Below are 16,808 nucleotides of genomic sequence, written 5' to 3'. Positions count from 1 at the left end.
CAACAGTGTTGGGAGGTGAGACTTTTGGGGTGTGTTTAGGTCATGAAGGCTCCACCTTCGTGAATGGATTAATGGTATTATAAAAGGGCTTGATGAAGGGAGTTTATCCTTTTTTGCCCTCCGCCTTCTACCAGTGTTACTCCCCTCTGGAGGACACAGTGTTCAAGGCACCATCTTGGAAGCACAGATAAGACCCTCATTAGACACTGAGTCTGCTAGCGCCTTGATCTTGGACTTCTCAGCCTCCAGAACCATGAGAAAATAAATGTCTGTTCTTTGTAAATTACCCAGTCTCAGGTATTCTGTTTTAGCCGTACAAATTTATGAAGAGAATAGCTTATTAGACTTGTTATCTGTTTGGCTCAGATTGCTGGGCCTTATATTCCTTACTGGGGCTTTCCCCGGAGAGGTGTGCATTTGGTCAAGGCAGCTCTCTGCAATTGAGGCTGGTCCTGAAGGACTTGACAGCAGAAAGTTGTCTGCTGACAGCACTCCCAGTGGCTGAAGCAGCAAATCCTGCTTGGAAGAGGGATCTGGACAGGGTATCTCTGTATCCACCGTTAGTCTCAAACTTATATTGGCACTGCAAACCTCTCCTCTGAATTCTGCACTTGAATGTTTAATGGGCTCTCAAATTACTTGTATCCAAAGCTGAGATCCTGATCTTCCGTCCCAAACCTGCTTATCCCGCAGGCTTCCCCGTCTCAGTTAACAGCACCTGCATCTTTCCCTTTGCTTAGGCTGAAATCTTTGGAGTCATCTTTGACAGACTCCTCTCTTTCTTCCGTATGTCATGTCTGATATGTCGGCAAATCCCATTGGCTTTATCTGTGAAGTATTCCACATGCTAACACCTGGGCCAGGACACAGATCACCTCTTCCCTGGGATATTGCAATAGTTTTCTAACTGGACTCTCTGCTTCTATCCCTTCCCTGCGAAGTCATTCTCCTGTCGAAATGCAAATCAGATCCTGTTTCTTCTCTGCTTATTACTGGCAGTGGCTTCACAGTCACTACGAGTAAAACCTTCACAGCCGGCAGCGTGGCTTCTTCTCTCCTCTTTGACCTCTGCCTTGTCCTTACATCTTCTCTCTCTTATAAGGACCCGGTGATTAGATTGGGCACACTAGATAATTCGGGATAATCTCTCCATCTCAAGATCCTTAATTTCGGCCAGTCCAGTGGCTCATGCCTGTAGTCCCAGCACTTTGGGAGGCCAAGGTGGGTAAATTGCTGAGCCTGGGAGGTCGAGGCTGCAGTGAACCAGGATGGTACCACTGCACTTCAGCCTGGGTGACAAAGCAAGACTTTGTCTCAAAAAAAAAAAAAAAAATCCTTAGCTTCATATGTGCAACATCCCTATTGCCATGTAAGGGAAACTGCAGTATATTCCCAGGTTCTGGGGGTTAGGATGTGAACATCTTTGGGGACCGTTATTCAGCCTACCCCAGAGGTTGAGTGTGGACTTCTTGGCAAAAAATTCACCTTGTCTTGTGCATCCTTCAGACCCTCCAAGATACAGTATAGTATGGTTAAAAATGTGAACTGGCTGAATTCAAATCCTGGCTTTGACAAGAATCCATTCTTTTCTGTCCTGCAATCATGTCGCCATATCTCAATAAAGGATCAATAAATTCCTCAGTGATATTTCATTGCTATGCTTACCCCTTGTTATAGAGTGCTAAGACTATAAATTTACGCAGCCACTCAGAAAAGAAAGCTTGGTGTCTAAAGTACTCTCTGATGAAAAATGTAATAGACAAATACTACTGCACAGGGGTACATCAACTCACCTTCAGAAAGGGGATTGGGTCCATAAATAATTTTAAAGTTCCAACTTTTGGCCCTGGGGGAGCAATCTTTGCATGAAAATTTTTGCAAGTTACAGTCCTATGGTGCTTTGCCTTCTCTACATTATAATGGTGCTATATTCAAGATCCAGAACCAACCACATCTGCCACGTGTATCTGAGAGTTTGTGGGGAAATCACTTCTCTTTACTTTTCTGATTAAATTCCCAGCCACACAAATCTTGCCAGTCATGGTAGAGAAATATTGGACCATTAAAGACCAGGTTAAAATGCTAAATACTTCAAAGTTCTCTGATAAAACAAAACAAACAAAAAAACCAAAAACCAATATGGTTTTTTCTATCCTTCCTTTCTTTTTTTGTAGGAGTGAGAACCAGTACTGCAGTAAACATTTTCTTAATTCCAAATGATTTAATGATCTGGATGGTATATTTTTGGTCGCTTATCTCTTCCTTATTCTGGGTTTTGTAGGTTTGTTTTTTTTTTTTCCTATATCAGGGATCATAATCCATTTCTTTTGACCATGGGTCTTGGGGTAATTACTTTACAGCTTGGGAATTTAGTTAATCTGAGCAGAGCTCTGGGTCTTCTTTTCTTAATCTTCATAATCTTTCCTAACATGGGCCCTGACATCCAACAGCCTGTTAATTCTAAGGTAATAACTCCTTTTTAGGTAGCTTCTAAGTTCCTGCTTTAAATCCCATTTAATTGGACAAGATGTTGTAAATTCACTTACTTCTTTGTAACAGACACACAACAGAAGCTGAATCAGGCTGATTAAAAATACAAAGAGTTTATTTTTTTTAAAAGAGCTCCTTAACAAACCATTGAGAGTCTAAGCCCCCCAGAACAATGTTCAAAACATGACAATGAAATGGTCTGATGAGCCAGGTGCAGTGGCTCAAGCCTATAATCCCAGCACTTTGGGAGGTCGAGGCGAGTGGATCACCTGAGGTCGGGAGTTCCAGACCAGCCTGGCCAACATGGCGAAACCTCGTCTCCACTAAAAATACAAAATTAGCCAGGTGTGGTGGTGTGCGCCTATAGTCCCAGCTACTCAGGAGGCTGAGGCAGCAGAATCGCTTAAAGGTGGGAGGTGGAGGTTTCAGTGAGCTGAGATCACGCCCCTGCACTCTAGCCTGGGTGACAGTGAGACTCTGTCTCAAAAATAAAATAAAATAAAATAGTGAATTCTCTAAACACAAAAAGGTGTCCATGTGCTAAGTACCCCTCCACCCCCTGCGCAAAAGAGAGACATATCTATACATTTTATTTAAGGCTGTCTCTTTTGGAAGATCTATAATTAAGATGATAAAGTCTTTCACAGGAAATATCCAGGGCAACTGCATGCATGCAATTATAATTAATGACAGAATAGTCTCTTGCATTTCTAATCAATCAATTAATTATGTATTCAGCACCCTGGCGTCAGGACTAGTTATAGAAGTGGTGACTATAGCAGCCACTTTTTTATATTTGCTAATTGCTTATTTTTAAAAATAAATTTTTTATTTATTTCTTTATTTTGAGACCAGGTCTTGCTATTTTGCTCAGGCTGTTCTTGAACTTGGGCTCAAGTGATCCTCCTGCCTTTTATGTAGGTGGGGATTACAGGTGCGTGCCACCACATCCCGCTACTAATTATTTCTTTAACACATTTCTGCGGCCTTTTATGAAGACCTCTGATGGAAATATGGCTGAATTGACAGTAGATTTTTTTTTCATCTGGACAAAGATCAAGTGCAATTACTGCAGTTGTGCCAACAAAGAGCGTTCTCCATCCTTTCCCTCTGTGTCTTTAGCTCTTTGGTTAAAAACCTGGGTTGGCTGGAATCCCCCATTCTAAAGAGCAAGTGAGGAGCAAATAGATTGATCTCTGCCACCTGTTTTTCATTTTCCCTCCTAGGTCCACCCTTTACCTTTCTCCACTCTACTATGTGCCCAGGAGGCTGGCCTGTGTAGATTACATCAGTGGACTCACCTCTTGGCTTTGGATGAGGTCAGTGAATGGGAGGCTTCAGCAGAGGATGAAAGGGTAGTTGCAATGATGTCAGAGCATTCATTCCTCCAGCCCCTCTCTGCCAGGCTGTCTTGGGTCTTGCTGTATCCTGGGCTTTGGTAACCATTTTCTCCTCAACTCCTTCTGGTCTAGGAGGAGGGGCAATGGCTATCGGTGCTGCTAGCTTCAAATAGTTTGCTATCCCTTGTTGGTTTCCCTTAACCCTGTCCATACATTTCTGTAAATACTCTCTTTATTAAATTATTCTTGCTGGGCATGGTGGCTCATGCCTGTAATCCTAGCACTTTGGGAGACTGAGGCAGTCAGATCACTTGAGGTCAGGAGTTCGAGACCAGCCTGGCCAACATGGCGAAACCTCATCTCTACTAAAAATACCAAGATTAGCTGGATGTGGTGGCAGGTGCCTGTAGTCCCAGATACTCGGGAGGCTGGGGTGAGAGAATCGCTTGAACCTGGGAGGCGGAGATTGCAGTGAGCCAAGATTGCGCCACTGCACTTCAGCCTGGGTGACAGAGTGAGACCCCGTCTCAAAAAATTTTTTTTAAATAAATAAAAATTAGAAAAAAATAAATAAATTATTCTTCATTTCCCCTTTGAAGGTGCATCCCCAGTAAACTATCGCAAGAACAAAAAACCAAACACCGCATATTCTCACTCATAGGTGGGAATTGAACAATGAGAACACATGGACACAGGAAGGGGAACATCACACTCTGGGGACTGTTGTGGGGTGGGGTCGGGGGGAGGGATAGCACTGGGAGATATACCTAATGCTAGATGACGAGTTAGTGGGTGCAGTGCACCAGCATGTCACATGTATACATATGTAACTAACCTGCACATTGTGCACATGTACCCTAAAACTTAAAGTATAATAATAAAAAAAAAACTACAATCCTCAAAAAACAAAAAAAAAGAAGGTGCATCTCGGTTTTGTCAAAATTCTCACCAATAGAAACACCAATATGACCCAAGTAAATGTCCATTCTTTTAAATATGAATTAATTCGATAAGCATTTATCAGTATTTATACAAAAAATGTTGAATCATGTCAATAGAGAATATTTACCTTGGCATTTTCCCATTTAAACAGATTCTCTAGAAAAAAGTTAAAGTAACAATCAAAAAAGAAAAAAAAACAAAAGAAACAAGAGAAGACTTCTCTCATAGCTAGCTCTCAATATATATTTCTTATCAAAGCACCTGGGAAATATTAATCACTTTATTGTGCACATAAGGACTTTGTTGCTGAGAAATCATCTTTTTCAATTCTGTAACGTTCCAAAATTGTTTCTGTGCTTCTTGGTGGTGGAGACCATATCATGTTCATTTTAAATAACAGCTTTATTGAGATATAAGTAACATAAAATGCATACTTTTATAAAAGTGTACAATTTAGTGGTTTTTAGTATATTCATAAGGTTATGGAACCGTCATCACTATCCAGATTTAGAAAATTTTAATCATCCAGGGAAAAACATTCGGTCTGTCATTATTGAGTGTGATTTTAGCTGTGGGTTTTCTTTTCACACAGGGTCTCACTTTGAGGCCCAGCCTGGAATGCAATGGCACAAACATGTCTCACTGCAGCCTCAACTTCTGCACTCAAGCAATCCTCCCACCTCGGCCTCTCACCTCAGCCTCCTGAGTAGCTGAGACCACAAGTGCATGCCACCATGCCTGGCTATTTTCTTTTAATATATTTTTGTAGAGATGGAGTCTCACCATGCCACCCAGGGCTCAAATGACCCTCCTGCCTCTGCCTCCCAAAGTGCTGGAATTACAGGCATGAGCCACTGCATCTGGACAGTTCTTCATATATGATCTTTATCATGTTGGGGGAAGTTCCCCTGTGTTCTTAATTTGTTGAGTATTCTTATCATGAAACACTGTTGGATTTTGTCAAATGATTTTTCTGCATCAACTGATATGATCTTGGGTTTTTTTCCTTCATAATATTAATGTGGTGTATTACATTAATTGATATTTCTATGTTTAACAACTCTTGCATTCTGGTGGTAAATCCCACTTGATCATAGTGAATAGTTATTTTAATATGCTGCTGAATTTGGTTTGCTAGTATTTTGTTGAGGATATTGACGTCTATCTTCCTTAGGGATGTTGGCTTGTAGTTTTCTTTTCTTTTAGTATCTTTGTCTGGCTGTTGTATCAGCGTAATGCTGGCCTCTTAGAATGAATGAGGTAGTCCTCCCTCTTCTTCAATTTTCGAAAGAATTTGAGAAGAGTTGGTGTTAATTCTTCTTTAACTGTTAGGTAGAATTCCCCAATGAAGGCTTCTGGTCCTGAGATTTTCTTTGGAGGGGTTTAATAAAGTGTTTTTAAAAAAAGTATTGATTCAATCTCCTTACTAGTTATAGGTCTATTTAGATTTTCTGTTTCTTCTTGCATCAGTTTTGGTAGACTGTGTGTTTCTAGGAATTTATCCATTTTATCTAGGTTATCCAATTTGTTGGTGTACAACTGTTCATAATATTCTCTAATAATCCCCTTTATCTCTGTAAAATTGGTAGTAATGCTCTCACTCTCCCTTCTCATTTTAGTAATTTGAGTTTTCTTTCTTTATTTTCTTAATCTAACTACAGGTTTGTCAATTCTGTTGATTTTTTTTCAAAGAACCAATTTTAGGTTTGTTGATTTTTCTCTATTGCATTTATTCTGTATTTTGTGTATCTCTGGTCTAATCATTATTATTTCCTTTCCTATGCTAACTTTAGGTTTAGCCCGCTTTTCTTTTTCCAGAGTCTTAAGGTGTAAAGTTAGGTTATTAATTTGAGAACTTTTCTCCTTTTAATGTAGTCATTCATAGCTATAAATTTCCCTCTAGTAATGCTTTCCCTGCATCCCATAAGTTTTAGTATGTTGCATTTTAATTTTAATTTGTCTCAAGGCATTTTCTAATTTCTCTTGTGCTGTCTTTTTTGACCCTTGGCTGTTTAAGAGTTTGAATAATAACAACTTAGTTTCAATAGAGTACAAACACTGCTCTTATTCATTTCTCTTCTTTCTCCTTTATATTGTTATTCTCATAAGTTATATCTTTACACACTGAATTCTCATTAACATAGACAATAGAACAATAACATAATTATTGTTCTATGTATTTGTCTTTTACATCACAAAGGAAAAGAGAAGAATTACAATAAATTGTATTTTGTATTTACCTGTGTAGTTAACTTTACCAGTGTTCTTTATTTCTTCTAATGGCTTCAAGTTCCTGTCTAATATCCTTTTATCTCAGCCTGAAGAGTCCCTTTGACATTTCTTGTAGGGCAGGTCAACTGGTAATGAATTCCTTCAGTTTTTATGCTTCTCCTTTATTAATTTCTCCTTTATTTTTGAAGGACAGTTTTGCTAGATACAGAATTCTTGGTTGAGTTTTTTTCTTTTAGAACTTTAAATGTGTCATACCATTGCCCTCTGGCCTCTGTGGTTTCTGTTTAGAAATCAACTGTTCATCTTATTGAGCATCTATCATATGTGATGATTCACTTGTAAATCTACCTGTAAATTTCTTTGACTTTATATTGCTTGAAGTGTGTTGAGTTTACATGTAGTTAAGATAAAATTTGTTGAGCTTAGGTGTAGCTTCTTGTCTTTCATCAGATTTGGGAAGTTTCAGCCACTATTTCTTTAATTTTTTCCTGCTCCTTTCTTCTCCTTCCAGAATTCCTATGATGCATATGTTGGTACACTTGATGGTGTCCTACAGATCCCTGGGACTCTGTTCATTTTCTTCATTCTTTTTTTCGTTCTGCTCCTTAGACTGAATAATTTTGATGGCCTTAAATTTAAGTTCACGGATCCTTTCTTCTTCTTGCTCAAGTCTGCTGTCGAATACCTCTAGTGAATTTTCCACTTATTGTACTTTTCAGCTCCAGAATTTCTGTTTGGTTCCTTTCTATATCTTTATAGGTATTCAGGGGTATTCTCACTTTATTCACACGTAATTTTCAGGTTTTCTTTAGTTCTTTATTCATGGTTTCCTTTACTCATTGAGCATGTTTAAAAGTTGACTTAATGTTTTTCACTAGTAATTGCAACGTCAGGGATTCCTCGAGTGTGGTCTCTATCAGATTTTTTTTTCCTGTGAATGGGCCATATTTTCCTATTTATTTGTATGCTTAGTAATTTTTTTGAGAGCTGGATACTGTCAATATTATAATGTGGTAATTCTGAAAAAATGATTCTCTAACTCCTCAGAGACTGCTGATTTTTGCTCATTGAGGATTAGAGCATCCATTTGTGACTTTCTCAAATTTTTTTTTGCAGAGTGTTTATTCCTTTTGTGTGTGATCATTGAAAATTCTGTTTGGCTATCTCTGTAGTTAGACCTATCAAAGATTTCCTTAAATGTCTGAGTCCAAAGAGTAGGGAGGAAAGTGTTCTGTCCCTTTAGAGCTTCTGCTGCTGCTGCTGGAGAAGCTACTGCAGTAGAGAGAGCCAAAACCAAGGCAAGAGTCTGTGCCAGTCCCTTGGAGCCAAGCAAAATGCACAGCCCCACATTCTTTGAGGAAATATATTTAGCCCTTGTCTACTATCTCCAATATGTGGGCCATCTGTTTGCTTAAATTTGATATTGTTTTTGCTGATTGTTAGTCACATTTCTTGCATCTTAGAATGTCTCATAATTTTTAATTGTATTAAGCCTTATTGTTTTAGGTGACCTTTTTTCTGTATTAGACAGTTGTGCAGTTGATCACCTTAATCTGAGCTGGTACTGAGTGTGGTCAGAGCTTATTTGCAAAGTTTGCAAGATTTAGTCTATCTCCATTTGCTCACATTTGCTCACATTCTTAGGGCATGGCTGTTGATGGCATTCATATAAAAGCCTTATGGTACTTTGCTTCTTTGTTATGTAAAAATTGGGAATTTTCATACTATTTTAAAGAGCTTTTCAGCTTAATTCTTTAGCTGTGCCTGCATGTAGCATAAGAATCTGGGTATTAGTATTTGAGGACTCTCAAATCTCCAATTTTGTCACTATATCCCATTATCACTACATCATGTGATTACCAAAATTCTTGGTGGTTTCTCTGAAATCTGGCAGCAGACCTTTCCCACAATAACATCTGAGTTTTCACGCCTGTAATCCTAGCACTTTAGGAGGCTGAGGTGGGCAGATCACCTGAGGTCAGGAGTTCGAGACCAGCCTGGCCAACATGGCAAAACCCCATCTCTACTAAAAATACAAAAATTAGCCAGGTGTGGTGGTGGGTGCCTGTAATCCCAGCTACTCGGGAGGCTGAGTCAGGAGAATCACTTGAACCTGGGAGGTGAAGACTGCAGTGAGCCGAGATCGCACCATTGCACTCCAGCCTGGGTGACAGGGCAAGATTCTGTCTCAAAAACAAAAACAAAAACAAAAACAGAAAATACACATGTATGTATATTTCCTTTTTTCCTTCTGGGATTCTAATTACATGTATAACAGCCCATTTGATAGTATTTAACAGGTAAAGGAAGCTCTGTTCCTTTCAAAAAAATTCAATATTTTATTTATCTCTTTTGCTCTATTTAAAAAATTGAAATTGTGTATATTTAATATGTACAGCATGATTTTTTGATATACATACACATGGTAAACTGATTACTGCAGTGAGCTAATTAGTATGTCCATCTGTCTACATAGTTAGCATTTTTTTGGTGATGAGTACACTTAAGATGTACTCTCAGCAAATTTCAAGTATACAATACAGTATTATTAACAATAGTCCCCATGCTGTACATTAAATTTCTAGAACTTATCCATCCTACATAACTGAAACTTTGTACACTTTGACCTAGATCCCTCTGCCTACTCCTGTTCCTTGTAACCATCATTCTACTTTCTGCATCTATGAATTTGACTTTTTTAGATTCCACATAAGAGTGAGATCATTCAGTGTTTGTCTTTTGGCATCTGGCTTATTTCCCTTAGTAGAATGTCCTCTAGGATCATCCATGTTGTCACAAATGGCAGGATTTCCTTATTTTTCTAAAAGATGAACTATATTTTATTATATATATGTATATAATATATATGTCTCATAATTTCTTTATCCATTTATCTGTTGAGGGACACTTAGATTGTTTCCATATCTTGGCTATTGTAAATAATGTTGCAATGAATGTGAAAGTGCAGATATCTCTTTGAGATACTGATTTCTTTTTCTTTGGATATATACTCCGAAGTGGGATTGCTAGATCTAAGGTAGCTCTATTTTTAATTTTTTGAAGAACTTCAGTACTGTTTTCCATAATGGCTAATTTACATTCCCACTAACAATGTACAAGGGTCCTTCTTCTCTACACCCTCAGCAATGCTTGTCATCTTTTGTCTTTATGATGATAGTCACCTTTTGCTCCATTTTGGATAGTTTCTGTTGCTATTTCTTCTAATTCACTGATCTTTTCTTCTCCATTGTGTAACCTATTGTTAATCCCATCCAGTGACTTAATTGTTTTTTTTTTTTTTTTGAGATGGAGTCTCATTCTTTCACCCAGGCTGGAGTGCAGTGGCACCATCTCAGCTCACTGCAACCTCTGCTTCCTGGGTTCAAGCAATTCTCCCACCTCAGCCTCCCAGATAGCTGGAACTATAGACGCCCACCACACCTGGCTAATTTTTGTATTTTTAGTAGAGATGGGGTTTCACCATGTTGGCCAGGGCTGGTCTTGAACTCTTGACCTCATGATTTGCCCACCTTGGCCTCCCAAAGTGTTGTGATTACAGGCATGAGCCACTGCGCCTGGCTAAGCCAGTCATATCTTGAACATTGTCCGTCTTTGAGCTCTGGGAATTGTTTAGTTCACCATTTTCTGGTTTTTAAATGCCCAATCCTATGGAATTTCACCCTATGAATGCACAATTTAGTGTCCTATGAAGACTCTAGGGGGTCTCCATGTAGATGTTTGCAGCTTTTTTTCCTACACATCTTTCTATTCTCTTTCATTGGCTTCTGGGCCATTAATATATAGTCTCAATTTATGTCATGCCAGTTCATCTCAATCTTTCTTTCTCTCTTTAGTGTAATATTTTTGTCAATCCTTTCTATTTCTTTCGGTATCCATAATTCCTTTCTTATTGTCATTCCATGACTCTGAACTGGAAAACATATTAATTGAATCTGGTCTCCATTTCCCTTCTCCCATAGTTACACTATAGAAGTCTTGTGTAGCTGAATAAGCAACTAGGTAGATTGGCATCAGTCATAAATGTTTCATTGGCAATAATCCGAATCCCTGCTATGATTCTGCCCAACAGCCCTCTTCTGTTTCATCTTCCAACTCTTCCTGCCATTATCCACTGCTGTGCTTTCAAATATTCTCAATTACTCTCAGGTCTCTATGCTTCTCTATCTCTTTTCAAATATGCTTGTCTCCTGCTTCTTAAGAGAAGTTGAAGCCATCTTCAGCCTCTCCTAGTTGAGAAATCCCTCTATTTCCTTACACAATTCAGATTAATCCTGACTTTACACTCATTCTTTTTTCCTAAATTTATGTTAATGAGTGATATATTCCTCTTTAAAATTAAGATTAATTCCTTTACTTATGCCATGGATTATACTCTTTTTAAACTAATGATAGGCCTCAATCTAACAAATGTAAATATGTTTACTTAAATTCAACACATTCTGATCTGCCAGATCTTACCCGTAAGTATTTATTTATTTATTTATTTTAGAGACAGGATCTCTCTCTGTTGCTCATGTTGGAGTGTAGTAGTGTGATCATAGCTCACTGCAGCCTTGAACTCCTGGGCTCAAGTGATCCACCTCAGCCTCCAAGTAGCTAGGAACACAGGCATGTACCACTGTACTTGGCTAAGTTTTCAATTTTTAAAAATTTTATAGACCAGGCTAGTCTTGAACTCCTGGGTTCAAGCAATCCTCCTGCCTTAGCCTCCCAAAGTGCTGGGATTATAGACATAAGCCAACCTCACCCAGCCTTCTATGAGTATTTAAATTCTCCCTTAACCTCATCAATCCCTGGGTACCCCTTTATAATGATATTTACTGAGAGAGTGGTCCACACTCCCTCCCTCCATTTCCTCACCCCCACACACTCTTGGTCCATAGTAGGTTGGTTCCCACCACACCACCTCATCTCATTTATTTTACCTCTTATAATGGGTTCTAGGTCAACACTTGCTACCTTGTTTATATGTCCCACATGCTCTATCTTTGGAATGCCTCTCCTCTCTTTTTTTTTCTACTAAATCTTTAATAGGTAGAATTCATCAGGTTTTTAGGAACCCAAAAATTCTCTTCTAAGAAATATACCCCTTAGAGTTTTTTTTAAATATAGCCAGAATCATGTGTTTATTCTCCAATCCCTCACTTTTTAGGCCTCATAATTATTTGACCTCACCCCTATAGGGAGTTCAGAAAACTTTTTCTCCAGCTACCTCTGGCAGCATCTTGGGATGTTCTCTGTAAACACTCATAATTAATTTGGATAAGTTAATTATGCTAAGAAAAAATGTGTACAGATTTTTCTTGGAGACACTATCACTGATGCTAGAAATAACATAATAATCACAGCTCTAGAGAGAGATGAGGTCAAGGCAATGAAAACTAAAGGCTTAGCTTTCTCTCTCAGGACAAATCTGGTAAACATTAGGTACAACATCCTGGAATGGAGGTTACTTAGGTGAGTGGAGTTTTTATTTCAGACTTAAAAATCGTCTGGGAAAGAAAAGGGGTGAATATTTAGACATGGGAATCTATACAATGTCTGGACCATTAATGCTTTTTCATGAGACTATACCAGAGTCATAATAGAGCCCATTTTCACTGTGAAGAGATATTCTCTGGTCTTTGCAGATTATTTACTTTTCTTACCCATTTTCCTGCAATGTCTCCTTAACTCTTTCCCTGTATAAGTTCTGTCTGAATTTCCACCTCTGTTCCTTGATTTGTTCTTTGATTTTTAGCCCATCCTTCTGCAGAATGTTTGTTCTTAACCTGAGATTCTTTAAGCATGGGGACAAGATTAATTCAAATTAAAATAGAGAAAATTGTAGGCCTGGTGCACAAGCTATCTTAAATAAATGTTAGTGTCTTTTGTTTCCACTGGACCTTGTCAAGGTGAGACTGCACTTGGGCAATTCATTATACTGAACATTTTTGTGTATGCACTGCGTGAAAATTTCAAGGCATTGTCCAGAATTTTATTAGAATTGGTGCAGCAGAAAATTACATGTTATTAAGGATTCTGACCTTCAAATCCACATAATACTCTTTGGAATAAACACCAGACTCAACTACAGAAGAAGGCGTGTTTACTAGTGAATTTTCTCAGCTGGACCCTCCCTTGTAATAGCTACGTGGATCTGAGAATTGGATTCTGAGATGTGATACTGACCCTATAATCACATACCTGATGTAGACCCTACCTTCTGCTCTGTGTTCCAGGGGAGCGATAAAAACCTTGAAAGAATATATGCAGTTCAGGGCAGTGGTTACCACAGAGGTCAATGCTGGCAAAGGTTTAGTGAGTTAATGAAATCTCACTGAACCTCAGGGTACATGGATCTTGGGGAGGCATCTCCCCTCTTTTTGCTCAAGCCAAGAGTCCACATAGGATTAGCCATCAGGTTTGTGGCCAAATGCGCCTCTGCTATTTCTTTCTGTGTGTGAGAAAAGAGAGTTCCATCTCTTCCTAATTTTTTTCTTTTTGCCCTGAAATTTGTCTGTATGATTTGATTTGGCCATCCAATTGTATATTTCCCAAATCATTCATCTGTTTTTCTAGATCCTTAATATTGATCAATTATATTCTAATTTGCTGAATTTCCAACTTATAAATAACTTTTCTGGACAATGTTCTGAACCATTGATATGTGTGACTATTCTTTTTTTGTGCTACACACTTTAATTGCTGTATTAGGTTTTAGGAAATTAGGTAGGAAATTAATCCAGTTCTTTTTTAAATAAATGGCTAAGTTTCTGTATGTTGAAAACTTTTCATTTAAAAAAGTGGGAAAATGACTTGGATTTTCTTGAGCAATGTAGTTAAAATTTGTTGCAAATTGTATAGCTCCTAAAATAGTCCCTTGCAATTTTGATTCATAATGAATTGAATCTACAAATTTATTTGAGGAAATTTCAAATCTTGAGAGCACATTATGTCTTTCCATCCAAGAACATGGAATTTCATTCTACTAATTCAAGATTTATTTTCCACTTTTTGATTGAGAATGCTCATATTTCTGGCATATTACTGATCTAGATTACTCCTAAGATTTTCAAAGTGTTTATACACAGTGTATTCTTTTATTTATGTTATATTTGGGCAAATTACTATCTTATTACTTCTAAATATTTTAGTTGTTTCTTTGAATGTAACATAAAAATCATCTAACTTTCCCAAAGAGGGATAAACTTTACCTTCCATTTTATTGACCAGGTGAGAAAAATATTGAATAATTGTGGTGCCTGTGGTCACGTTAGTCTTTTTCCCCAATGAAATGAGATTAATTCTTTTTTGTTTGTTCGTTTTGTTTTTCAATTGTTTTATTTTTGTAGAGACAGGGTTTTGCTGTGTTGCCCAGGCTGGTCTCGAACTCCTGGACTCAAGCGATCTTCTTGCCTAAGCCTCCCAAAGTGCTGGAATTATAGGCGTGAGCCATTGCACCCGGCCAAGATGAGATTATATCTAATGTTCATTTTGATATTAATCATGTGTATTCCTGGACTATATCTTTGTTAATGTTTTATTATTAAGGTACTCTGCCTAATTCAGTTTGGGTCCTTGGTCCAAAATTTGTTTTGGATTATAGAAAGATCATGCTTGACAAAGAGTATTTGATAGAATCAAGTGCAACATAGGACACTGAACACTTGTCTCTCAAGAAGACCAAATTTTTACACAAACAAAACAAAGCAAAACCCCCAAATCAAGCAAGGATATGTAGTTTCGAATAACGCAATTAGCTTAATGCACTAGATATTTTTAACTATCAAGGAGAGATTCTGCTTCCCATGTTAATAAATCTATTAAGGTAAAGAACACATTGAAATAATTTTTGACACGGAAATAATGACTCTGTTCAGTAGTTCATTCATTTATTCATGTGATAAATATTGACTGACTGCTTAACAGTATGTTGTTCTAAACCTTAGTTATGGGCTGAAAACAGGGTAGACAAGATGTCTGCCTTCATGACCTTCATCTTTCCATTGGAGGAAATGGTCTTCCTTCAATAGAAATAAGATAATCCAGTAAGATAATTTCTGTTGTTATAGGTACCAAGAAAGATATACTAGGTGGTGAGGAGAAAAAACCTTCATGGATGGGATTTTTATGTGTGACAATAGCATAGGGGTCCCAGGAAGGAGATTTGAAAGAAATTAAGTACATTTCATTTCACTTGAAGAAATTCATGTGTTCCTTCCATTTTTCTCCAGGTTCCTGGATCTGAGCAAAAGCATCATCTCTCAGTCACTGAGGGAATGCTATCTATTGATGTAGCAATGGGTGTGATTATCTTTACACAGACTGGAATAGGGATTGTGGGGAATTTTCGTTACTCCTTTGTTATTATATCTGTTCTCTTTTTAGGAGACACAGATTGAGACCGTTAGAGCAAATAACCAACCATCTTGTGTTAGCCAATACATCAATCCTTCTTTGTGGAGGAATCCCTCAGAAGATGGCAGCTTTTGGGTTGCAATACTTCCTGGATGATGTTGGATGTAAACTTGTCTTTTATTGTCACAGAGTGGCCTGGGGAAATTCTCTCAACACCATCTGTCTTTTAGGTGGCTTCCAGGCCTTAAGTATCAACCCCACAAACTCCAGGTGGGCAGAACTCAAATTCAAACCCCCCAAACATATTAATTCTCCCTGTATTGTGAGCTGGGTGTTTCACTTGCTGGTAAATCTCATTGTTCCCATGAGAATGACTAGCCAATGGAGTAGCAGAAATATCACTGTGAAATCAAACCTTGGATATTGTTCTCATCTATTAGTTGATACAATTACAAAATCAATGTGTTCAGTTATTTTCTCCTGTATTGATGTTTTTTGCTTGGGAATCATGGCATGGGGCCAGTGGCTCCAAGATATTTTTTCCCTCACCGGTACAAGTGGCAAGTCTGATACATTCATGGCACTAAACAGTGCTCGCAAATATCCCCAGAGACCAGAGCCACAAAATCTATTCTGATACTTGTGAGCACTTTTGCCTTATTTTTTTCTTTCTCTTCTGCTTTTGAAATGTGTGCTTTTTCTTTTTGACAATCCACAGGTGTGGCTTATGAAAACCAGCATTCTTCTAGTATCTGGTTTTCCAACCATCAGCCCCCTTTTGCTCTTAAAAAGTGACACCCATGTTTCCAGCCTCTGGTCCTCCTGCTGAGGAAGTTGTAGAGCCTACCCAGTTGCTGACAGCGTTTTATACTCTAGTCATTCATCCACTCATCTCATACTGTGAAGAAGTACCTTCCCTGTGTCACTCCTATTCAGTAGTAAACAGAAAGGTATCTACTTCCTTAAAGTCTGTGGGGGAATCCAGACATCAAAGAAACAATTACAGAACCAATGATAGTTGTAGTTGCATAGGTTGCTGCAATGAGGAGCTCAGGGTAGTTTGTTTCAGGACCATGGAAAGCTCCCCTTTGTTAAATAAACTTTACAGTTTAGCCAATGGTTTAGCCATTGGTTTGGGCTGAGCCCCTGCATGAGGCTCAACAGACCAAACAAAAATGGAGTTACTCCTGCTGAAGTTCCATGCCACCAAGCTGAAACTAGGTTATTTATCTGATCTTCCAATAATTCGAGAGAGAGAGAGAGAGAGAGAGAGAGAGAGAGAGAGAGAGAGAGAGGGAGATGATAGCCAAATCTCCAAGCAGGCCAGTTTATTTCATTTCATTTCATTTCATTTCATTTCATTTCATTTCATTATTTCATTTCATTTCATTTTATTTTATTTTTAAGTCAGAGTCTCACTCTGTTGCCCAGGCTGGAGGGCAA

The 16,808-nt window shown here is 38.3% G+C and overlaps 1 pseudogene, besides 1 other annotated feature; it reads left to right on the top strand.

Annotated features, from left to right (window-relative positions):
- On the top strand, positions 15,287-16,194 carry VN1R96P (vomeronasal 1 receptor 96 pseudogene; annotated as a pseudogene).
- Positions 16,248-16,448: a silencer, noted in NCBI's record as "peak3482 fragment used in MPRA reporter construct". NCBI's record gives its function as "represses an SCP1 promoter by STARR-seq MPRAs in K562 erythroleukemia cells {active_cell/tissue: K562}" and the evidence as "EXISTENCE:reporter gene assay evidence [ECO:0000049][PMID:32103011]".

The sequence above is a fragment of the Homo sapiens genome, chromosome 19, assembly GCF_000001405.40.
Source record: "Homo sapiens chromosome 19, GRCh38.p14 Primary Assembly".
Taxonomy (NCBI): Eukaryota; Metazoa; Chordata; class Mammalia; order Primates; family Hominidae; genus Homo; species Homo sapiens.
Note: the sequence above shows the minus strand (reverse complement) of the source record. Positions and strands in the feature narration are given on the sequence as shown.